Source organism: Homo sapiens, chromosome 14, assembly GCF_000001405.40.
Source record: "Homo sapiens chromosome 14, GRCh38.p14 Primary Assembly".
Classification (NCBI taxonomy): domain Eukaryota; kingdom Metazoa; phylum Chordata; class Mammalia; order Primates; family Hominidae; genus Homo; species Homo sapiens.
The window spans coordinates 95,673,592-95,698,942 of NC_000014.9; the positions used below are offsets into that span (position 1 = coordinate 95,673,592).

The 25,351-nt window shown below is 47.6% G+C and overlaps 1 protein-coding gene across 1 annotated transcript, besides 3 other annotated features; it reads left to right on the plus strand.

Moving 5' to 3' along the window:
* The first annotated feature begins 12,834 nt into the window (after positions 1-12,834).
* On the plus strand, positions 12,835-19,037 carry TCL1B (TCL1 family AKT coactivator B). The gene is made up of 4 exons (NM_004918.4): positions 12,835-13,038; positions 17,145-17,315; positions 17,677-17,745; positions 18,340-19,037. The coding sequence occupies exons 1-3, from the start codon at positions 12,877-12,879 to the stop codon at positions 17,728-17,730; spliced, it is 387 nt and encodes a 128-aa protein (NP_004909.1). The 5' UTR covers positions 12,835-12,876; the 3' UTR covers positions 17,731-17,745; positions 18,340-19,037.
* Positions 22,552-22,601: an enhancer, noted in NCBI's record as "active region_8969". NCBI's record gives its function as "activates an Ori minimal core promoter by ATAC-STARR-seq in GM12878 lymphoblastoid cells {active_cell/tissue: GM12878}" and the evidence as "EXISTENCE:reporter gene assay evidence [ECO:0000049][PMID:35858748]".
* Positions 22,612-22,681: an enhancer, noted in NCBI's record as "active region_8970". NCBI's record gives its function as "activates an Ori minimal core promoter by ATAC-STARR-seq in GM12878 lymphoblastoid cells {active_cell/tissue: GM12878}" and the evidence as "EXISTENCE:reporter gene assay evidence [ECO:0000049][PMID:35858748]".
* Positions 24,226-24,315: an enhancer, noted in NCBI's record as "active region_8971". NCBI's record gives its function as "activates an Ori minimal core promoter by ATAC-STARR-seq in GM12878 lymphoblastoid cells {active_cell/tissue: GM12878}" and the evidence as "EXISTENCE:reporter gene assay evidence [ECO:0000049][PMID:35858748]".

A 25,351-nucleotide genomic window follows, 5' to 3' on the forward strand; every position in this document is an offset into this window, starting at 1 on the left:
AGCCACTTGGGAGGCAGAGGTGGGAAGATCGCTTGAGCCCAGGAGGTTGAGGCTGCATTGAGCTATGATGGCACCATTGTACTCCAGCCTGGTTGACAGAGTGAGACCCTGTCTAAAAAAGGAAAAGAAGTTTAGGGGGAAAGCTTTTAGGAGGTGGATGATGGTTAATTTTAATTCCACCTAACATTTTAAACTTTGGTATGTCAAAAGGTGAGAATTGCCAGTGTCGAGGCATGGAAACCAAAGGAAAACTAGAGGGTTGAGAAGGTGGGAAGGGCCGCAGTGTGGCAGGCGGCAGTTACTGGGATGGCTTCTACTAAAGGAACTCATCGTCCACCACCTTCAGGAAGGAGGCTCCTGGGGCCCTTTAAGAGAGCAGTTTCAGTGGAGGCTGCAGGCAGGTTGGCAGAAACAAGATTATGAGATGGTCTGTACCAGGTATCAGGCTTGAGGGTTAGTGCCTCTAGACTTCTCTGAGAAGTCTAGCTTTGAAGGGAAGGCTGGAGAGCTAGCACAATACTCAATAATAACAAGACCTAAGGCACTTACTGTGTGCCAGGCATGTTCTAAGAACTCAGCACACTTCAGCTCATTTAATCCTTACAACTATACAAAGTTTGTAGTCTTTTCATTATACCTTTTGACAGGTGAGTTACTTGCTGGAATTCACGTGGCTAGTAAATACTGGAGCTGAGATTTGAAAGCAGGCAATCTGGCTCCAGAATCTGTGTTTTCAACCCACATACTATATTGACCATCATGAAAAAATGGTGGTGAGCAGGCTTGTTTCTAAGGATGGGAGGGTCCTCATAATATTTGTATTTACAGAGAGGAGGGAGAGGTGGGTTACTTCCTCTCCCAACCCCAGAAAGCCAGGCATGTTGGCTGGCATCCCTGGGACCTCAGATATTCAAGCAACCATGGCCTTACAAATCAGGCATTCTATTTATTAGAGTTGTGCAGTGAGGTCCCCTCCATTTCATCCCCAGAATATCTCCTAGACAAGTTGGATCCTGCAGGGCCCGAGTATAAATAAGATGGTGCCCTCTGTTGTTATGGAGTAGCTTGGAGCTGGGCCCCAGATGCCCTGTGTGGATTAGATGAGTGATTAGTATTTGGCAATGTAGCTTGAGAGGCTTGCTGAGTTACTGGGGCATATGTCCCCAGCTCACGAGTACCAGCCTGACTTCTGTCAATCAATCAGTGAACAGGGTTTGCAGCGTCCACCAGGTACCTGTGGTGTAGTAGAAGAGAGTTTGAACTTTGGAATCAAACATGCTGAAGTTCAGATTCCAGCTCCTCCACTAACTATCTCTGTGATCTTGGCTAAGTGACCGTCACTTTTTTTTTTTTTTTTTTTTGAGACAAGGTCTCATTCTGTCTCCTAGGCTGGAGTGCAGTGGCATGATCATGGCTCACTGCAGCCTCAACCTCCCGAACTCAAGAGATCATCCCACTTCAGCCTCCTGAGTAGCTGGGACCATGGGGCGCCTGCCATGGCATCAAGCTAATTTTTTATCTTTTGTAAAGATGGGATTTCGCCAAGTTGCCTAGGCCAATCTCAAACTCCTGGGCTCAAGCGATCCACCCACCTCAGCCTCCCAAAGTGCTGGGATTACAGGTGTGAGCCACCGTGCCCATCCTGATGGTTGCTTTCAGAGCCTTGATTCTTCATCTCTAAAACAAAGATAGGAATACTGCCTAGTTTCCATGAGGAGCTTGTAACACATGCGGGCCTCTCTCCCCTCACCCCAGTCTTTGGTTAGACACTTACTATTTGCAAAGACCCAATTTCTTCATCATAAGAAGGCTGCCACCACACTTGAGGGAGTGACCCATTTACAAACAATTGCTTCCTTCTGGGTCATTCTGATGGATTAAATGAAGAACCATTTAAAACCACAGCCCAAAGGGCCAGAGGGAGAGGCAGCAGAGGGAAGATGCAGGTGGATCTTCATGCACTGCATGAGGAAGCTTTGTACCATGGTCAGGAAAAGCTCCAGGCACACAAGGGCAGCCTCCATGGCCAATCAGAGTGCACCTCTCACCTCGGCAACTCTGCTAACCTAAATAGACCAGTCACACAGCAGAGCTGCAAAAGAAGACATGATAATTACAGAGACCCCAGGGGACCGTCTGTGCGGACTGATGCTTTGTTTCTCCTGACCCCTCAGACCTCTCTATTTCACTGCAAACTCTCAATACCCAGGGCCTTTGTTTTGCTGTGAACACTTTCATTCCTGAGTACATTTTCTATGAGGAGTTGGCGGAAGAGAGTCAGAATGAATTATATTTTCAGCACACCTCTGGGTTCATGTTGAACTCGGCTAGAACTGTTTTGACCCAGGAAACAATTTGACTAAAGGATATTTCAATCCAACAAATACTCTCTGGGCCCTTCCAATGTTTCTGGCACTGGTTTGATGCTGAGGACATAGAGATGAATAAGAAATGGTCTCTGTCCCCCAGCTGATAAATTATCATTGATGATCTACCGTGTGCCAGGGACTTTACAAATGTGATTACCATTTCTTACAACATAGTAAGGTAGATAGCATTTTTGTGTTACTGGTGAGGAGTAGGAAGTTCAAAAAGTTTATAAGGTCAAAGTCACACAACTAGTCAGATGTAGAACTAACCTTTGGATTTGGGACTGTTCACCATCAAATCCTATATGCTTTTGATACAGACAGGAGACCCAGAAATACTGGGTAGAAGAGGGTGGTTCCCTGGCAAAGGCCCTACCCTCAAACCTGGAAACCTGCAGCCCTAAATGGGAAGAGGCATTCCTGTTTTCATGCCCAAAAGTTGCCTTTTGGCCCGTCATGTCCCCTATCCTATACCTGTATAAACCCCAGACCCCAGGCTCCAGAAGCAGATGAGGAGACAAACAGAAGAGCAGAAGAATGGCAGAATGGCACAGCAGAGAGAAGAAAAGGAACATCTGAATGTTGAGAGGAATTTGGCTGGGGGCGGTTGGAGAGGAGATTAGCCACTGGACAGCCAAACTCCAGGGGAAGATCATCTTCCCACTCCATCCCCCTTCCAGCTCCCCATCCATCCTGCTGAGAGCCACCTCCACCACTCAGTGAAACCGCTGCATTCATCCTTCAAGTTTATGTGTGACCTGATTCTTCCTGGACATTGGACAAAGACCTAGGTCCAGTGAACTGTCTAACACTTAAGTCATCCACGGACAGCAAGGCTAACAGAACGCTGTAACATGTGCCCACTTGGACTCTGGGAGTTGCAGACACCCACCCATAGGTGCTGCCATGGGTCCGGAGCCCAAAAAGTGCTTGCCCTGGCTCCTGCACCTGCCCGTCTGCATGCTCCCCCTCCGGTAAGGGGTTTGAGGATGTGGCGGCTGAACATAAGAGCTATGCCCCTGTCACACATCATGGGACAGGGGTCAGGGAACTCTCCCATTTCACTTTCAAATATTCCAGGTCCCCTTTTTGTTCGGGAGCCAGAGTCTAATGGAGACAGAGATAGAAACCCTGAAATAGGATCCAGGCAATATAAACCTACACGCTGTAAGCCAAGTCAGAGTGAGGCTGATGTGATAACAAAAGTCTGAATACAAGGTGGGAGACAATTATTCTGACTGAAAGGGAGGCAAGAGTTCTGCCATAGGCTTGATGCTGTGTGCCCCTGGCTTCCTAACTCATTTGCAAATGGAAAATACTATTCCATTGTAGGAACCTTCTTTTTCCATGTGTCTGGGGAAGGAGAAAGAATGGCTGGGCTGAATGAATTTATCCCTTGGTCCTCTTCCAACAAAGCTCAGCTATGAAAGATAAATCCAGCTCTCCCCACCCCCTCTCAGTGGAGCTGGGGAGAAATCAAAAGCCCCTCTGCCAATAATGAGACCAAAGTTTGCAAGGGCAGGACGAGCCCGTGCTAACAGAGAAAGTGTTGTTTCCTCAATTTGGTTTTAGACTGTCTTGTCCTATGGGGGAGAAAAGATCTGCCCTTGGGAGAGGTGCCAACTTTATAGATCTATTAATAAAAGAACTGGCAGGCTTACAGTTCTTGCCAATGAGGAAACTTGAATGAGAGAAGCCAGGCTCAACCTTGGCCAACAGACTGGAGCCCATCACCCTAACTTCACCCCGCTTCTCCTTACCCAACCGTCAAAGGCTAGGCAGCACCCACCCAGCAGCTTCCACCTGGCTGAAGCCTGCACCTGCTTCAGACCAAGGGTTAGATGGAAATTTGGCATGGGAAGAGAGGGCTCACCTGTGGGCAGGATAGACTCTATCCAAGAAGGAGAACTGAAAAATGAAAACCTATGAGACAAGGGGTGATCCTGAAGGCAGGCAGGAGAAAGGGCTGGAGGGAGAGGCACTGGGGAATTTTTCCTGGTGAATACTGAAGTTACTAGATGTTTTGTCTTGCAAAACTCAAGGGAAAACTCTCAAACTCTAATGTTTGTCTATTCTGTGTCCAAACTGTCCTTTTGAAACGGACCCACCTTTCAGTAAAGAAACTTGCATTGGCCTGCCCAGCCTGGTGTGTTAGTTCTGTGGAAACTGACTGGCTAGGGTGGCCACGGGAGGAAGAGCCTGGTTCTCCCTCACCAGCTCCTTGTGAAGAAGGGACCTGGTCAATAAGGCAAACGACACCACTTGCCAACATTTGATATTGCCAAGTGCTTTTGTTTGGCACTACTATAGATTTTAAAAATGTATCTCACTTTTAAAATTTGCATTTTCTTGATTACTTGTGAGATTGAACATCTTCTCATACAGCAACTGGCCGTTTTCATCTCCTTTTCTGTGAATTCTAGCTGTTCCCTATTTTTCCAATGGGTTATTCGCTTTACTTACTGATCTGTAAGAGTTCATTACATATACTGGAAACTAATACTTTGCTATATATTGTTACTATCTTCTCTTACTCTGGTCACTTTTAAAACTTCATGTATTGTCATAAGAAGTCATACTTTTCGGTGGCTCATACCTGTAATCCCAGCACTTTGGGAGGCTGAGGCAGGCAGATTACCTGAGGTCGGGAGTTCGAGACCAACCTGACCAACACGGAGAAACCCTGTCTCTACTAAAAATACAAAATTAGCTGGTGTGGTGGCACGTGCCTGTATTCCCAGCTACTCAGGAGGCTGAGACAGGAGAATTGCTTGAACCCGGGAAGCGGAGGTTATGGTGAACCGAGATGGTGTCATTGCACTCCAGCCTGGGCAACAAGAACAAAACTCCATCTCAAAAAAAAAAAAAAAAAAAAAAAAAGTCATACTTTTGCTTTGTTTGTCATCTTTAAGAAGATCATCCCTATCGAAGGTCATAAACATATTCTTAATATTTTCACGTGTTTATTTTCCAAGGTTAGGTCTTAGAAAATTACAAAATAACCATTTGTAATTTCATGTTGTGAAAGGTGGAGGAAAGGAATTTCATCTTCTTGCCCCCAAACCTAAAACCCTTACTTGCATCTGAGCCGATTCTCCTTGTTCCTTTCAGTTACACTGGAAGAAGAGCCCCTCCTTCCTTCAAGCCAAGTCATCCCCTTGGGCTCTCACCACTTCAGTTTATACCTTGCCTGTAGTCCAGTCTCTCCAGCATCAATTCCATCAGCACAAAGACATAATTTAATTCCTTCTACCTTAAAAAAAAAAAAAAAAAAAAAACAGCTCTCCCTCTCTTAGGGTGAGATGAAGTGGTTGGCAACAGGCCAATGCTACTTTCAGAGGCGTTTGAATCAGAGTGACTCCATTTTGAATAGGGGTTGAGTAAAATAAGGCTGAGACCTACTGGGCTGCATTCCCATGAGCTTAGGCATTCTAAGTCACAGGATGAGACAGGAGGTCAGCACAAGATACACGTCACAAAGACCTTGCTGATAAAACAGATTGTGATAAGAAAAGCCAGTCAAAACCCACCAAAACCAAGATGGCGACAAAAGTGATCTCTGGTTGTCCTCACTGCTGATTATTCACTAATTATAAAATTAACATGATAAAAGACACTCCCACCAGCACCGTGACAGTTTACAAATGACATGGACACATCAGGAAGTTACCCTATATGTCTAAAAGGGGAGGAGCCCTCCATTCCAATTGTCCACCCCTTTCCTGGAAAACTCATGAATAATCCACCCCTTGTTTAGCATATAATCAAGAAATAACCATGAAAATAGCCAACCAGCAGCCCTCAGGGCTGCTTTGCCTATGGAGTAGCCATTCTATATTCCTTTACTTTCTTAATAAACTTGCTTTCACTTTAGCCTATGGACTTGCCCCAAATTCTTGCATGAGGTCCAAGAACCTTCTCTTGAGGTCTGGATTGGGACCCCTTTCTGGTAACACTACAGCCACGCTATGGAAAATCTAAATAAAAATAAAGATTGTATTTTCCAAACCATCGGGGAGCTATGGAAGCAACAAGGGCCAGAGGAAGTAAAATTCTGGAGAAGGGAGGACAGCTCAGAGGTGAGCATCTGCAGATGCCTTTCCCTTCCTGTCATTTGATAATCCTGGGCAAAGACTGAAATTGGTGCTGAGTCCAGTCGGGGGATGCTGTGGAGTCATCAAATTAGAGGCTTGGGGGGGCCTCAAACATCCAGCCAGCTTCCTCCTTCAGAGGTGCTGAACTGTGAAGCTGTGTGATGTGAGAGGCTGACAGGCTAAGCTGAAGACCTCAGGAAAGTAGAGTGGAATTTCCCGTGGTCTTTTTTTTTTTTTTTGAGGCAGTGTCTCTTTCTGTCACCCAGGCAGGAATGCAGTGGCAAAATCACAGCTCACTGCAGCCTGGACCTCTCAGGCTCAAGTGATCCTCCCACCTCAGCCCCGGAGTAGCTGGGACCACAGGCACGTGCCACCACTCCCGGGTACTTTTTGTATTTTTTGTAGAGTGGGGTCTCACCGTGTTGCCCAGGCTCCCTGTGGTCTCCTGAGAAGACAAAGGCTCACCAGGGGGTGGAGTTCCTGAGAACAGCTTGGCAGGAGCTGAAAACGCTGGAGAGCAGGTGAACTGACCCCTGCTGTCAGGCATCTGCAGCTGCTTTTTCCTGAGAACATTAGCTGTGAGTTTTGTGCAGCTGGACAAATGTGGAGACTTGAGGGAATCTCAAATGCGTGGCCAGTACCCTCTCTCCACAGGCTTTTTACAATTTGAAGCAGTTCAGGGCAGGATGCTGAAGAGCAAAGCCAAAACCCCCAAAAGGAAAATAATTTCCTGCAGTCTCTTAGTGTCATGAACAAATGTGAACCTGAAAGAGCCAATCTTTCAAGAAAGATCCCTAGGCCGGGCGCGGTGGCTCACGCCTGTAATCCCAGCACTTTGGGAGGCCGAGGCGGGCGGATCACGAGGTCAGGAGATCAAGACCATCCTGGCTAACACGGTGAAACCCCGTCTCTACTAAAAATACAAAAAAATTAGCCGGGCGTGATGGTGGGCGCCTGTAGTCCCAGCTACTCGGGAGGCTGAGGCAGGAGAATGGCGTGAACCCGGGAGGCGGAACTTGCGGTGAGCCGAGATTGCGCCACTGCACTCCAGCCTGGGCGACAGAGCCAGACGCCATCTCAAAAGGAAAAAAAAAAAAAAAAAAGACAGAAAGATCCCCAGTGGCTAACGAGGCCTAAATGTGAAATAGTAAAATACAGCCAAGCAGCCATCTGCTAACTAGAAATCACATAGGTACTCCTGAGTTCCCAGAAATCCAACACCTCTGTTTGACTTGGTGACTTTCAGAGCACGCCTAAACCAACCAATCAGAGCCCACCTGCCTTGACCAATCAAGGCTCAGCTGTATCAACTAATTGGAACTACCTGAGTCTGAATCTCTCATTTGCATAAATGGACCTGATTGGGAACCTGGGTGGAAACTTTTGCTACAGAACCCCAACCCTCCCTTTGTGCTCTGGAACACATCTTGTTTTACACTGAAGGCTGCATCTCCCTGGTTTGCAAACTATTCACTGGAATATAAAGTCTCTTTCCTCCAGTTTCCTTTCCAGAGAATTTTGTTCACAGTGCTGAGACAAAGACCTACCAGACTCTTGATTGAGGGTCATACTCTAAGAGCAGGGCAAACTAGAGATAGATAGGCAATTTTTTTTTTTTTAATATAGGGTCTCACTCTGTCACCCAGGCTGGAGTGCAGTGGCTCAATCTTGACTCACTGCAGCCTTGACCTCCTGGGTTCAAGTGATCCTCCCACCTCAGCCTCAGCTGGAGCTACAGGCATGCACCACTGTACCCAGCTCTTTTTATATTTTTTTGTAGAGATGGGGGTCTCACTGTGTTGCCCAGGCTGGTCTCAAACTCCTGAGCTCAAGCGATCCACCCACCTTGGCTTCCCAAAGTGTGGGGATTACAAAGTGAGCCACTGTGCCTGGCTGGATAGACTGATTCTTATCCAAACTGCATCTTAACCTTGACTCAGTTTAGTCCCTATTGGGATTAAACTGTTTAATACTTCACTCTATCTGCCTAGCAGAGAATAGGGTTAACTCTACTTGGGGGGAAAACGCTAGAGTCTTTCCAGTGCTTTTATACAAAATATTTGGCATTCCTTTAAATATTACTCAAGAGAAAAGACCATTTAACTAAAAACCAAGAGAAAAAGTAGACAATAGAAGGAGGCCCACCAGTAAACCAGAGTTATTAGACAAGAACTTTAAAGTAACCATGATTATGTCCAAAGAAATAGAATGATGGACAAAATGATTAAGAGTGTAGAGATTATCAGATAAAGTTTTAATCTTTAAAAAAAGCATCAAATGGGCATCCTGGAACTAATAAATATAATATTTGCAGCAAAGAAATGAATTGTTTGAGAGCAGATTGGTTATAGCAGATGTCAGCATTAGTGAACTGGAAGATAAACTAATAGAAAACATCAACATTGAAGCTCAGAGAGGAAAAAAAAGGAAACAAAACAAGAACAGAGCATAGAGAGCACGGTACACTTGTTTAAAGGGTCTGACAATGTGTAATTGGAGTCACTGAAAGAGAGGGAAAGGGAGGAAAAGAAAGGATGAGACGGGAATAGTTGAAGATACAATGGCTAAGACATTTCCTCAAATAGTGGATAAACTATTAGAGTTAAGTCAATTTATCTAGGTCTTAGATATAGTGTCAATGCACACAAACCAGTTGCATTTTTTTATAACAGCAACAAACATAATACATAATTTGAAATGACATTTAAAATAGCATCAATCAAATACTTAAGAGTTAATTTAATGAAATCAGAGAGAACAGTTAAAGACAACCCAAAATATGGAAGGATACACTATGCAATTGCTTCGGATCGTAAGTCTTAATATGTTGGAGATGTTAATTCTCTTCAAATATACCTATAGATTCAACACAATCCCAATCAATCTTAGCAGGCTTTTGGAGGTGGGGAGGATTAACAAGCTGATTTTAAAATGCATATGGATATGTAAAGGGAAGAGAATAGCTATATTAGGGTTCTCCAGAGAAACAGAATCTTACAATAAGATATAAAGACCTATTTTAAAGCTATAGTAATTAGCAATGTGGTATCAACACAAGGAGAGACAAACAGACTAATGGAATAGAAAAGTGTCCAGAAACAGACTCATACATAAATGTTCCCAGATTTATGACAGAAGTGATAATACCGTACAGTAGACAAAGCATAGTCTTTTAAATAATTGGCATTAATTGGATATCAACATGGAAAAATTAATCTAAATAAAATCTTTAGAAGAAAATAGTGTACATAAGCAAAACTTTCCTAAACCCTCATTCTTCAGTTCCGTGGTTGGGTTGACTTTCTTTTACCACTTTGCAAGTTTGCTCTGCTCACTGTCTGAAATAAGCAGAGCTGGAACTTGGATGTTCTTGTTTTTGTTATTATCTGCACAATCCCCATCCAGTCTTTTCTCTAGTAGTCATGATCTACTTGATACTAAGCCACTCTTTGGTTTTATCATTAGTTCTAACATTAAGTGCATACTTATGTCACTCCTTGTCTCAAACACTCATTGCTCATCATTCAAAACCAGCTGCTGGGACTGGCGTGTTTGATGCTTACAATGGAGCATCAATACCACCCCTGCCCCCACCACCACCACATTCTTATTCTTTATCATATGAGCTTGGATAATCCTCATTATTCCTGATCTCCAGACACACCCTGAATTACCTCTCCTCCAGGTCTACTCATGCTGCTTACTCGGTGGGACAACTTTGCCAGTTCCATCTAAACCATGCCCTGTCTAGGCTGTCTGCCTTTGGCATCTTGTCTGCCCTGCCATTTTGGCCCAGTACCTAGGAGGAGCTGAACAGAAATGTGCAGAGGTATCAGTGACTCTTACCCAGCCTTCCAAGCCCTGCACAGCGCCTCCTTGTTTGTGGTCTGGAATCCTTCCGGCAAGTGGGTGTCCAGCCTCAACGTCCCCAGGGCTTGGGGCTTGTGAAGGGCTCCCTCTGCTGGAGGAGGAGAGCATTGGGCCCAGGCATGAGTGCACCATCAGTACCAGGCAATCCTGGGAGCAATTCTGGAGAGATCAAAGTGGTTCTCAAAGACATTGGTGACACCTACCCCGGAGAGTGAATCCTTCAGGTCACAGGTACCAGAGATGGACAACTTGGCCAGAAGACATAGCCTTATCTCACTTATCTCAGACATGACATGGACAAAGACCAGCTGAAGGACCAGGAACCAAACTGTTGTCACCTGCAGCTCCGTGGCTTTTTTCATACCAGGTCCAAGGGTTGAGGGATGGGAGACCTGGCCAAAGAGGGTGATCGGTGAAGCAATCTATTTTCCACCTTGAGGCTAACTGGTAGTTATTTCTTTCTGCCTATGGAGACCTCTGCTTACCTTCTGACCACCCACTCATGGCAAGGTGTTCTCAGTCTCCATCTTCAGACCCCACCACCATTTCTACAGTAGCCACTGTGGATCTCCCTACTCCAGGTTCTGCCTCTTCCATGTAATGAGCCAAACTTGGCCAAGGCAGTCAACAAGCAGCATGCATGTTAGAGCCAGGAACAGCTGGGTCCATATCCTTCCTCTGCTACCCACTTCATTCAGGTTGCTAAGCCACTCAAGCCTCTGATACTTCATCTATGAAATGGGGGTGACGGTCTCTAGTTTATGGAGTTGTTGGGAGGTGTTAGTGAGATACCCTATGAAAAATGCCTGACATGGCATAGGGGCTCCCCACATATTAGGCAACCTTTACCTCCAACCCCACTGACAGCCACACACCTGCCCATCAGGGAGTGAGGTTGAGAATATCAAAATATATATTTGCAACAGAAAATGATAGAGATAAATAGCAATTGCATTGGGGTTACAAGGGTAGGAATGATGGATTCTGCCTGGGAGAGGGAACTAGTCTGAGAACATAACTATTGACCAGGGTATTTCAAGTATTCACTATGTGTCAGGCTTTAACACTATACACACAGCCTCATCTGATCCTCAGAGGAGTCCCATAGGGTAGGTACCTACAGCAAACAGGCTTCAGGGGGGCCCAGGAGACCAGGGGTCCCCATGATCCCTGCCTCCTGGTATTCATAACCTTGAGTAAGGATAGGACCTACCCCTGACCAATGGAATATGGCAAAGGTGACACACGTACGTGATTCCATGTATGGATCACATTATATGAGACTGTGATGTCCCTTGTCTTCCTGGCCCACTCCATTCCCACCCCAAGTGTTGGTTCCTTGGAAAAACACTGGGGATGGAGGTGGAATTGCTGTGAAAACAAGACTCAGTCCTCCACAGAAGCTGCCCAGGGAGTTCTTCAAAAGTGGTTATCCTACCTGCCATTTACACTGGATCAGGACTGTCCAGAAATCATTTTCACATCTCCCCAGCAGAATGGCATCATCTCAATACTAATCTTCACTTGAACTAGAAGAATCATGCTTGTGGTTTTCAAAAGGAAAAGGTTCCTATTCATGGTGCATTTAGAAGCAGCCCAGGGTGCTTATAGAACGGACCTGCTTCTTGCTATGTTCTTGAGCTTCTGAGGCCTCTTGACAAAGTCGAGCAAGTAAGACGACCAGGCCAAGTGGGCACTCTGGGCCCCATGGCCAAGGATGGGCTGGCCAGGTGGCCACGTGGCCTCCGGTGGCCTTGTTTCTGTGGGCTTTATCTGATCCTGAGCTCAGATGCTGATAGTGCACTGGCTTATTTTCTAAGGAGAGGGAGCTTGATTTGTGCAGGATGCGCCTTCACCAGATACCTCCAGGGGCAAGAGTCCACTGAGGTTACAGCGCCCCCCGCCCCCCATGCCTCTAAGCTCTAAGCTCAGAGAAGGGTCCCTGACACAGAGTCCTGTTAAAGGAATGGCCACAGGGATAGGAGAGACCAGGGTCGTGCATGCCAGCTCAGGATCTGGGGCAGGATGGTTGGCAGGGGGTCGTGGGGAGCAAAGGAGGGGAATCACCTGACAGAAAATTGGGCAGGGGTGCTCAGGGAGGAGGCTGCGGAGGGACTGGGACCAGTGGAAGGGAGGTGGAATAGGTCTTAGGAGCCAAATTCCTTGCAGAGGCCTGGGGTGAAGCCTGGGCAGCTCTATCCCCGGGAGCCGCCCTTTTGCCTCCAGCAGCTGCCGGTCCAGCCACAGCCCCTCCAGGAGACCCAGGCCGGGTTCCTAACTCCGCTGCTCTTTGGCCTCGTCCCTGCCTAGCCCCTGCTGCAGGTTGCTTTTTTCCCCCCTCCTCCTCCTCCCTCCTCCCTCCTCCCTCCTCCCCCTTCCTCCTCCTCCCCCTCCTCCCCCGACTGGCCCCGCCCCCACTGCCGGCCCCGCCCCCACTGCCGGCCCGGGCCCCACCCACGCCGGAGCTGCTCCATTTAAGGAGATTGCGCAGCTGGAAAGCTACACGTGTGAGCCTAGAGGCGGGTCCCGGTTGCAGACTTGCCATGGCCTCCGAAGCTTCTGTGCGTCTAGGGGTGCCCCCTGGCCGTCTGTGGATCCAGAGGCCTGGCATCTACGAAGATGAGGAGGGGAGAACCTGGGTGACTGTGGTCGTGCGGTTCAATCCCTCGCGTAGGGAATGGGCCAGGGCCTCCCAGGGCAGCAGAGTGAGTCCTGGGCACGAGGGGAGGCTGTGGGGAGGGCTGCGCACTGACCCCTGCCCGTGTGGGACCGCGGTGGGGGTCAGAGGGGGCCGTTCTCACCCGCACTGGAAAACTCACTTCTGTGCAGGTCTAGGAGCGCAGCAATGTCCATGCCCAGCCCTGGCCCCAGGAACACCCCCCGTAAAGGGACCACAGGCACAAGCTTATCCACATGAGATAATGTGGTCCTGCGTGGTGAAGCCGAGGCTAAGGTAGCTCAGGGCTTAGTGCCATTCCCAGTGCCTGCTGGGAAGGCCCACAAATGGGGCAGCTATTGAGCTGGGCTTTGTGGGATGAGTAGGAGTTCTCCAGGTCTAGAAAGGAGGCAGGAGTAGTATAAGCAAAAGCATTGCAGCCTGGAGGCACCAGGTGGGCCAACAGGATGAACATGACATTGGTGTCAGATTACTGATCTGCAAAATGAGAATAATATACCTCTGTGGCAAGCTAGTCACAGACATGCTCACATACATGGCTCACCGCCTGAATGGCCTGGGGAAGCATTTGACTGATAACAGATTCTGGAAATTAATTCAGGAGGCTTGGGTGGAGTCCTAGATTCTTTACTTTTCAAAAGCTCCCCAGGTGATAATGATAATGACTCAGGAAACGGCTGTAGATGAGGGCTTTAGATCACAGCCAGTCTTTGAGGGATGAAGTAAATACAGTAGCGTTTCTGGTGTGGGTGGCGGTGGGGAATTGATTCCAGGACCGACTGTGGATGCTCAAGTCCCTGATAGAAAATGACCTGGGTAGTAATTACATATAACCTCAGCGCATCCTCTACTATATTTGAAATCAGATTACTAATAACACCTAATGCTACACCTACACATCACTTCAAGCTCTGCTTTTGGGAACTTTGTGGAATTTCTTTTTTTCCCAAAATATTTTTAATCTGAGGTTAGTCGAATTCATGGGTGCAGTATCCATGGAAATGGGGGGCTGGCTGTACCTTAGTGTAATGTGGTAAAAGCATATCCGGATATTTAAAATGCCATTTAGGGCTGGGCGCGGTGGCTCACGCCTGTAATCCCAGCACTTTGGGAGGCCGAGATGGGCTTATCACGAGATCAGGAGATCGAGACCATCCTAGCCAACATGGGGAAACCCCGTCTCTACTAAAAATACAAAAAATTAGCCGGGCGTGGTGGTGGACGCCTGTAGTCCCAGCTACTCGGGAGGCTGAGGCAGGAGAATGGCGTGAACCCGGGAGGCGAAGCTTGTAGTGAGCCGAGATCGCACCACTGCACTCCAGCCTGGGTGACAGAGTGAGACTCCGTCCCAAAAAAAAAAAAAAAAAATGCCGTTTAGGTCTTCGTAAACAATTCACTGCCTGTTTGTTTGTTTTTTGAGAAAGTCTTGCTCTGTTGCGGCTGGAGTGCACTGGTGTGATGTTGGCTCACTGCAACCTCCACCTCCCAGGCTCAAGTGATTCTCATGCCTCAGCCTCCCGAGTAGCTTGGATTACAGGCGATTTTTTTTTACAGTTAATTTTTTTTGTTATTTTCAGGAGAGACAAAGTTTAATCATGTGGGCCAGGCTGGTTTTGAACTCCTGACCTCAAGTGATCTGCCCACCTTGGCCTCCCAAAGTGCTGGGATTACAGGTGAGCCACCTCGCCCAGCCAGTTCACTGACACTTTAAACAATATAACACATTTCCTAAAAAAAGTTCAAATAGGTTATTTCAAAAAATGTTGGTAGAGAACATGGAAAGGCTTTTCTGTACATACACTAAATAAAGCATGCAAAAATTGTGGAGCAAATATTTTAAGTTTTTCAAAAGCCTGAAAAAGTGTTAATGGAGGGCACTGTAAAATGGTGCAGCCACTATGGAAAACAGGATGAGGATTTCTCAAAGAAAGAATTACGGCATAATCCAGCAATGCCGCTTCTGGATATATACCCACAAGACTCTGAAGCCGGAACTTAAGCATGTATTCATACATCCATGTTCACAGCAGTATCATTCATACTAGCCAAAAGGTGGTGGCAGCCCCAGTGTCCATTGATAGATGAATGGGTAAACAACACAAACCATGAAGTATTCACCCTTAAAAGTCAGACACACGGATGAAACTTGGAGCCATTATACTAAATGAAATATGCCAGTCACGGAAGGACAGATTCTCTTGTATGAGGTACTCAGAGTGGTCTCATTCATAAAGTGGAATGGTAGCTGCCAGGGGCTGGAGGGAGTCGAGGATGGGAAGTTAATGTTAGTAACAGGTACGGAGTCTCAGTTTGGGAAGATAAAAAGTTCTGGAGGTGGATAGTGCCGACGGTTCCACATGTCAATGCACTTAATGCCACCAAACTGTACTCTTAAAAACAGTTGGCCGGGTGCGGTGGCTCACGCCTGTAATCCCAGCACTTTGGGGGGCCGAGGCGGGCGGATCACAAGGTCAGGAGATCGAGACCATCCTGGCTAACACGGTGAAACCCCGTCTCTACTAAAAATACAAAAAAATTAGCCGGGTGCGGTGGCAGGCGTCTGTAGTCCCAGCTACTCGGGGGGCTGAGGCAGGAGAATGGCTTGAACCTGGGAGGCAGAGCTTGCAGTGAGCTGAGATCCAGCCACTGCACTCCAGCCTGGGCGACAGAGCAAGACTCCGTCTCAAACAAAACAAAGCAAAACAAAAAAAACAGTTAAGATTTTTTTTTTTTTTAAATGATTCAGTGGAAATAGAATGGATTCTTCAAATAACTTAGCCACGGGTGGGATAAGGGACCTACTTAGTAAGTATTTTTTCCCCTTCTTTCTTAAAAATAGATCGATGTCTTAGGGTGGGAATTAGGCTTCCTGGGCGACACATCTAATGCAAAGATCAGCCACCTTTTTCTGTAAAGGATCTGATGGTAAACATTTTCCACTTGGAGAGCTATGCTCTTGCAGCTACTCAGCTCTGCTATTGCAGTGCAAAAGCAGCTAAAGGCAACGGTAAAGGAATGAGGGAAGGAGCCTTAGTTTATTTACAATAAAGCTTTATTTGCAAAAGCAGATGCAAGCCAGACTTAGTTTGCTGATCTCTGATCTACAGTCAGAATACACAGAGAAGGAGAGATTTTGCCGTATAATTTAAAATACTTCTCTTTGCAAAAGCAGTCCATAAAAAAAGTGAGGACGACAAACTGAGAAAAATTATTCACAACATGTCTGATTGATAGAGCACTAATATTCTTAATTCAAAAAGACATTTTATCACAAAAGAAGACAAATACTTAGAAAATTGTGCAAAAGACTTTCCATTTTGTTGCATAACGTAGGAAGCTTTGGTTTTACTTTTCCTATCATCTTTCTAACTTCCAGTACCAGCCTAATTTTGTTATTTTTATTATTATGTATTTATTTTGAGACAGAGTCTTGCTCTGTCTCCCAGGCTGGAGTGCAGTGACCTGACGATAGCTTACAACAGCCTCTACCTCCCAGGTTCAAGAAATCTTCTCACCTTAGCTTCCCGAGTAGCTGGGACTGTAGGCACATGCCACCATGGCCAGCTAATTTTTTATTTTTTGTAGAGACAGAGTCTCATTATGTTGCCGAGGCTGGTCTTGAACTCGTGGCTTCAAGCAGTCCTCCTGCCTTGGCCTCCCAAAGTGTTGGGATTACAGGCATAAGCCACTGCTCCCAGCCTTATTTCGTATATTTACTATAAGTGTGTGAAGGTCATGATCAGAACTGCCATATATTTTGGCGGGAAAATCTATCACCCTCAGATCCAGAGTCCATGGATATCTTGTTTTTAAAACGAAGATTTAAAAAATTACGGCAATGGCAGAGATGGAGCCCCAAGAGAATACTCAGCTTTAACCCAAGGTGTTGACAGGTTGGAAACAGTGGCTAAATTTGGGGATTGCAGTGGGGCGAGGCAGGGTGCAGGTCAGAGGGGGCCAGAAGGGCCCCAGCCATCCTAGATGGAGCCACAAGTACCAGTGCCAAGGCTCTTGGTCTGGAATTCTGAAAACATTTACCTCTGACCCTGGCAGCCCACTGGCCATTGCTTGTGTGCAGCCCAGTTGGCAGGGAACCCTATCCATGATTTGCCGCCTCTTTTCTGGTCCCTTCAGTATGAACCCAGCATCACAGTGCACTTGTGGCAGATGGCAGTGCATACCCGGGAGCTACTCTCCTCCGGCCAGATGCCCTTCTCCCAGCTGCCCGCCGTGTGGCAGCTCTACCCCGGGAGGAAGTACCGAGCAGCGGATTCCAGTTTCTGGGAAATAGCAGACCATGGCCAGGCAAGTGTGTGGTGGTTCTAGGTGAAAGCGACAGGTGGCCCCTGGTGACTGCCGTGGCCCTCTCTCTTCTGTGCCCCTGGCCCCCTTGGGGTTCTTGTCTGTCCTCTTCCTGTTGCTCAAGTCTTCCTTCAAGGAGGCCTGAGTGTGTGTGGGTGGATCGGTGCATGAGTTCCCATGTGGGATGCAGGCAGAGTGGGTGAGGGAGGGAGGGTTGCCTTCCCTGGGCTAGGGAAATCCACAAGCTGGAGTTCCCACCTGCCTCACCCCTGCCTGCTGCTGCTGCCAGCCTGCATGGGCGGCCGTTAAGGCCAACTGGAAGAGCATCTCCCAGAGGTTCTGATGGCTGCTCCCTCTCCTGCAGATTGACTCTATGGAGCAGCTGGTCCTAACATATCAGCCGGAGAGGAAAGACTGACACTGGGAGTGGCTGGTATGTTGGGGCCCTGTGCGTCTCAGTGTAGGGATCAGACGAAAGTGAGAAGACCTCTCCTCTTTTCAGAAAGACGGCGTGGCCTCCTCCTCCCTGCTGTTTGCTGAGATTTTTCTTACATAGCCACCTGTCACCTCTGTTCCCCAGCCCCTTGGATGTGATGGTACACAGTGGGTGGGCCCCCATAATAAGTTCCTAAAGCATGGGATCTCATCGAATAAGACTCATCATTTAATCCTTGTGAGAATTTTGTGAGGTGTACGTGTTAATGTCCCATTTCACGACGAAAAGACAAGACTCTGGGGATGGGAATGACTTCCTCGAGACCATACAGCCAGGAAATAGCGGTGAATCTAGTGATCTCGGGTCCCTAGATTTAACCATGGCACTGAGGTGCCGTGTGACGGTGGCCTTGGAGGACCCAGCACTGACCCATAGAGGGCTCCTCTCAGATGGGCAGCAGCTTGGAGCAGGCCAGGCAGGGCCTGGGCCATTGGAGGGGCTGGCACTGGACTTGCCTTTGACCCCAGCAGCTTGGATGGGGTGCCGGGCTCCCCCATAGTTCACTGACTGTCTCCTTTGGTCTTCTCGCAGGCCCTGCTGGCCCTGCCTCTTCTGGCCTGGTGTCTCCTCATGCCCCCTCAGTGAGGATCTTCATGTACCTGCTCTTCTGTTTGCACACCCAGCATAGCCTCCTTGCAGGCAGAAGGCAGTAGGGCCCCTGCACACTCAGTTTCTCTCGTTTTCCTTAGTTATCAGTCCTGTCCTGTCCCACTCAGGTCTGTACTTAGGGCAGCTGGCCTGGATGGGCTTCACTGGGGCCCTGTCTGTGTGCTGAGCCAGTTTCCCCTGCTGGCTGCAAGCTGTGGGTTCTTTCTCCTCTGTGCCCCTCATGCTGATCTTCTAGATGCCACTCCCAAATCCCCTTCATACCCACCAGGATGTGTGCCCAGCCAGGCCTCCAGCACCCCCAGTGCAGCTCGTGATTGGAAACTCACCATCGGCAGGCAGTGGTTCGGTTTAAGAGATGGCATTAGAGGGAGCCCAGTCTGGATGTGGACTTGGATGCCCTGTGGGTATCAGTTCTGCTGACACTTTGGCCCGAAATAGATCCAGTGCTGAGCAAGCAATGTACACCAGAGCCTCAGTGAGCCCATCTGCACAGTGGGGAGCATGGAGGGATGGGTTTGGCCTGTGCTTCTGCTTATTCAGTCCTTCAGCTCACGGAAGGGATGCTAGTCCGTGAAGGTGACCTCACAGTACTGGTTAATTAAACTTTATTGCTCACTGTCCACTTTTGTGCTGAATTGGAGCCTCTCTTTGACCTCTTTCTAGCATAGAAATGGCAGCTTCTGGTACCGAAATGTTAAGGTAACATTTTAATGATCCATTTCATATTTTTCCACACTGGGAAGGAAATTGTGATTGGTCCATTCAGCAGCAGGACGTCGGCGGGAGTTAAGGAAGGGGAGGAGACTCGTGCGGGCTCTGGGTGAAGCCCTGCTGTGAAAGGGCAGGAAAGCCCGTAGTGGTCACAGGAGAACCGGGAGCAAGGGAGAGCTCCCAAAGCGAGACAATGCAACAGCATGTCATTGCAGGAGATGCAGAATGCAGGTGCAAGGGAGGAAGGGCCCATGTGTGGGAGAGTATGACATGACAGAGGAGCAGAGTCCTTGAGCAGGGAGGGATGAGGCAGGGGGCCAAGGCACTGAGCAGTGCCACCATTGTGACCAGGAAGAAGAGGACGATACAGTGCAGGTCAGGGTGACCATGCAGTGGTGGCAAGGAGAAGAGATTCCCTCCCTCATGTCGCTCACAAGAAAAAATCACCCATGGGCTGAAATCCCAACCTTACAAAATGAATCTGTAAAAGCATTCATAGAAAGTTTGGGGAAATATGTTCATGAACGTGGGGTACAGAAAAACCCAAGTAAATCACAGGTGTAAGCAAAAGACAGTGTAAGACAAACTTTTTCAAGTGAAGCATTTCTGTATGACAAAATATTAGGAAGCATCAATCACAATTTAGCATGGTATATAAGGCACGCCAGTGTTTGCCTGGAGCAGGCTTGCTCAAGCCCAGTGGTGTTGCGGGGAGGGGCTGTCCTGTGCCTTGTAGAATGTTTAGCAACATCCTTGGCCGCCACCCACTGGATGCCAGAAGCATCTCCTGACCGCAGCTTGTGAGAACCAAAAATGCCAAATGCCTCCTGAGGGGGCAAAATTGCCCCGGGCTGAGAATCACTACCCTAGATAAACACTTGCACATGTGGTATACACAAGAGGTATGAAGAGAGAGCACTGTGGTAAGAGTTCAGATTCCACAGTGTTGGCATGGTTAAAGGGAGGCCCCGTGAGCAGGAGCTGGGTGAGCACTGCAGGCTGGCATTGTACCTTCTGCTGAGAAGCTTATGTTGATCTGGCAGCCTGGTCTTTGAGGAACCCTCTTCCCCTAGCCTGCCTTCCCTCCCACTGGCCTGAGTCGGGGGTATGCAGGAGAGGGTGCGTCATGCAGCATGCATCCCAGTCAACATAAGGATTTCATGATGACACAGGGTCTCGCTCTGTCATCCACGCTGGAGTGCAGTGGCGCGATCGCGGCTCACTGCAAGCTCCGCCTCCTGGGTTCACGCCATTCTCCTGCCTCAGCCTCCCGAGTAGCTGAGACTACAGGTGTCCGCCACCACTCCCGGCTAATTTTTTTGTAATTTTAGTAGAGACGGGGTTTCACCGTGTTAGCCAGGATGGTCTCAATCTCCTGACCTCGTGATCCACCCACCTTGGCCTCTCAAAGTACTGGGATTACAGGTGTGAGCCACCACGCCTGGCCTAGGAAAGGTTTTTATTGTTAAATGGGAAATTTACAAAGCCAGAGAGGGAAGGAGACATTGTTTTCCTACCCACAGAAATGTGCCTCCCAGAAAGGAGCCGGCTCTGCTGGATACCCAGTGGGTGTCTGCATCCAGGAGAGAGAATTCAGTCCCTTAGCTGCCTTCTTATAGTGCAGGCTGGGTGCAAGTGCAATGATGAAGGCTGCACAGACTTCCTGGGTACCAGGTGGGTGGGGTCTGGGAATGCCAGCCGTCCAGTGCCTGGACACTTGGGGTCTATATGTAACTGTAATAGATTTGTTGTCAAATGCGCACATATCCCAACACTGGGTCGCAGCAGAGAAAGCAGTTGAATGGTAGGGTCACCGAAGGAGGGGATAGGAGGAAACCTCAAATCCATCTCCCAGAGAGTAGGACTGGGCCAGTGGAGATTGTTGATTGATTGAAAAGTGCAGGATGACATGGGACAGGGAGATGAAGCAGCTGTATTCTCATACTGATCTGTTCCTCTGTGGCAGTCTTCAAACTGGTTGCTGGAATTCAGACTCTGAAAAACATCTTAAGTGATTTATTCTAATGTCAGAGATCCTGTCTATAGGAACGAAGGGGATACAAATAAATTATTAAACAGTCAGTCTTATAATCCTAAAGTCAGAAATCCTATCTGTAGAAACATCGGATATGCAAATGGTCACTATCTAGAGTGCTACGTGACTTTCAGCAACAAGAAAGTGGGTCTAAGTGCAGCCTGATCAATGCTTAATTATAACTGTATTTCTGTCCAGAACCCAGCATGCAAACTGCAAGGGGGGCAGTTTCATATGGGAAGTTTCAGGCTCCCAGGATTAGGGAAGGAAGTCATCAGTTCTTTGGGAAGTAGAGCTCGGGTGCTGCTTCTTCCTTGGGAAATAGGCCCTTGTCCCTGCCACCTAGGATACCTCTGCTCCTTGACCTTAGAGCGCTATTAGTCCTATAGCATTGGGAGGGGCCCCGAGCCCCCAGCTGGTCCCCAGGGAGTCACACTTTGGGATCTGCTGCCCCTCCTGGGTGCTGTCCTTCACCTGCTGGTGGTCTGCGTGCTCTCCTGGCCTCACTGCTGAGGTCTGCAGCAGGACAACGCATAGTCTGTGCCTGGTGACTCCCAGGGTCTGGGTGACTTGGCTTCACCTGGGATCCTACTACTTGTTCTGCCCCAACTGTTAGCTGTGACCCCTTTCCAGCTGCCATCTGGGTGGTCCACACCCAAGCCTCTGCTGAGGTCAGCTTGCCCTGGCACTTGGCATTGGTGCTGGATGTGGCATGGCGGTGCCCCACAGAAGATGCGCTCCAGGGAACCTCTCACCCCACCTCACCATAGTGATATGGGAGTTAAAAAGGAATTATTTAGGCAGATAGCAAGGGCGTGAGAGTCCCCGGTAAGGCTTTTCTTCATTTTTTTTTTTTTTTTGAGACGGAGTTTCGCTCTTGTTTCCCAGGCTGGAGTGCAATGGCGCGATCTCGGCCCACCGCAACCTCCGCCTCCTGGGTTCAAGCGATTCTCCTACCTCAGCCTCCCAAGTAGCTGGGTTTACAGGCATGCGCCACCACACCCAGCTAATTTTTTGTATTTTTAGTAGAGACGGGGTTTCTCCATGTTGGCCAGGCTGGTCTTGAACTCCTGATCTCAGGTGATCCACCTGCCAAAGTGCTGGGATTACAGGCATGAGCCACCATGCCTGGCCAAGGCTTTTCTTTTTAATGAAAGCAGCGCCAATCGTTTTCTAACAAATAGCAGCCTGCAAGCTGGGAGCTTTCATGGGTGAATGCTGGCAGGAACTAAGGACTAGACACATTCAAGATGGCAGACTTCTCTGCCAGCCACATGTATTTTAAGGAGCAGACCAGATGGGGCCAATCAACTGGAAAGCCCAGGGGCATAAGATCCGTGTGAGTGACCAGCCTTCCCCACCCAAACTAATCTGTGAGCCATACATAACAAATCAGATACCACTTCCTCAACTGGACCACGAAACTCAAGAGCATTCAAACTGTCCTTTTTCCACTTGGAGACCCCTTCCTCTATAGAGGAAGCTATTTCTGTTTCTCATCTCTTCAACCTATTAAACCTCTGCTCTTAAACTCCTTGTGTGTGTCTGCGTCCTACAAGGAACTCCAGGGTATATACCCCAGACAAAGTAGCCACTTCAGTAGTGGGCTCTTTCGCATTGCCTGGGCCCAGAGGCTCTGGCCCAGGCTCCTTTTGCTGTTACGTTTCTGTAACATTGTGATACAATAAGAAATATAGATTTGGTCTCCATCCCCAGGTCCCAGCGTAGGGCTCCTGAAGCCTCTGGAATTTTCTAAGTGATAGGAGTGAGAGGAGCATCTTTTGTTCTTCATAATAAACCCCTTTCAACCTACCATGTGATTACAGGATTGGAACTTTTAGTCCCACCCTCCTGACCTCCAGGAAATACAAAAATAACAGTGTTTCCAAACACTGGGAAGGGGAGGAGAAAGAAGGTAGAGGTAAAGTACATAGGTTTTCCCGTGGAAGGAAGTCCAGAAAATACAGTTGAAAGATCAAGTCACAGAGCTAGGAACATATTATTTAAAGGAAAAGCTAGAATTAAGACTCATAAGAAAACTAACCAAAATTGGCAGCAGCAGATATGGACAGGAGGAGAGAGGAAGCACAAGGATGCTGTTTCCTCATCCTTCACAGGGGACAGTTGGGAGAGGTCGTAGAACAATAAACAGAACGGCCACATAAAAGCTCTAAAAGGCCGGGCGTGGTGGCTACATGCCTGTAATCCCAGCACTTTGGGAGGCTGAGGCCGGTGAATCATTTGAGGTCAGGAGTTCGAGACCAGCCTGGCCCACACGGTGAAACCCCGTCTCTAATAAGAATACAAAAATTAGCCGGGCGGTCGTAGCGCACGCCTGTAATCCCAGTTACTCGGGAGGCTGAGGCAGGGGAATCGCTTGAGCCTGGGAGGCGGAAATTGCAGTGAGGTGAGATCACGCCCCTACACTCCAGTCTGGGTGACAGAGTGAGACCCTGTCTCAGAAAAATGATAAAAGCTCTACAGGTGCAATTCAGACCTTCTGAATTACGTAAGAAAAACAACCTTCCCAAAATATATTTGAACCAGTAAGAGAATTCAACAAGTTAAGTGTTTATACATTTAACATGTAACACCCAACAGTTTTCTTGTATATAGACATGAGTCAGTTAGAAAAAAAAAATGGGTGATCAATGTAAAATACTTATATGAAGCAAATTTTAAAATTCTGAAGGACAGTAAACAAGTCTTGAATAAACCTAAAAATCTTAAAATAGTCATGTGAATTGGACAATTTACCTCTATGCCTCAGTTTCCTCATCTGTAATACAGGGACAGTAAAAGTAGCCATCTCATGGGCTGTTGTGCAGATTAACATATCGGGCTAAGTTAGTATTTGTAAAGCTCTTAGTGGTACATAGGGCTATGGAAAAGCATTGTCTAAATCAATCGGAGGCTTCGTTGTTGCAAAGATATAATATCTCCCTAAGCCTATTTATAAATGTAATGCAATCACAACAAAGAACTTAAGAGTTTTGTACCTGGACAATTTGAACCTCAAATTGATATGGAGAATTTAAGATGTGAGAAAAGCTGGGAAAAATCTGAACGAGGAGAGCTGTGAGGGTGGACTAGAGTTAGCAGCCATCAACAAGCAACCCAAAGCTGCAGCAACAAACCCTGGTGGGTAGTCACGCAGGTGCAGGCATCAAGAGAAGTGAAAACGGAAGAGGCTGAGGGAGAGCTGAAAACACAAGTGGGAATTCAGCACACGAGTGAAGGCAGGTACAACATGCCACTCTGGTATAACGATTTTGTGCTAATAATGGCCCTTGATAAACAACAGATGCACGAAGGGCACTCTGCCTTCTCCTTTCTCTTCCTGAAAGCAAGAGAGAAACCTCCACGTGGAAGATTCCTCCATCAGAAGGAAAGTGACACTCATCACTGGGGCTGGGAGTTGAGGCTGAGAGAATTCTGTATAAACTAACATCATAAATGAACCTTTCTCCTTTAGCCACAAGGAATTTGCCTAGCCCGAGGCCCCTTTCCTGGTCACATTTTCCACAATATACTACTCTTTGTCCAAAATCAGTGTTTAACTCTGTTTCTTTGGGTCTTTGTTTCCTTATGAGGGGCTCCTGTGTCACAGAAAACTTACATTAAATCAATATGCTTTTCTCCTATGAATCTGTTTTATGTCAATTTAATTCTCTAGCCCAGCTGAAAATGCTAAGAGGGTAGAGGTGAAATTTTGCCTCCCTTACACAATCAAGGTGGCATTTCAAAGCACTGCCAAAGGATACATTAGTCACTAAACAGCATCATTGAGACCTGGCTAGCCATTTGCATAAAAAAGTTGGATCACTACTTCATTTCTCATATAGAAGTAAATTCCAGATAGATTCATGATTTAAACAAAGGAAATGACAAAAGGATAGATGAAAACATGAAGAAAATTTATTGTGGAGCAGAGAAGTCCTTATTAAGAAAAACCTGGGCCGGGTGCAGTGGCTCACGCCTGTAATCCCAGCCTTTGGGAGGCCAAGGCAGGCGGATCACGAGGTCAGGAGATCGAGACCATCCTGGCCAACATGGTGAAACCCCGTCTCTACTAAAAATACAAAAAATTAGCTGGGCGTGGTGGCAGGTGCCTGTAATCCCAGCTACTCGGGAGGCTGAGGCAGGAGAATCGCTTGAACCCAGGAGGCGGAGCTTGCAGTGAGCCGA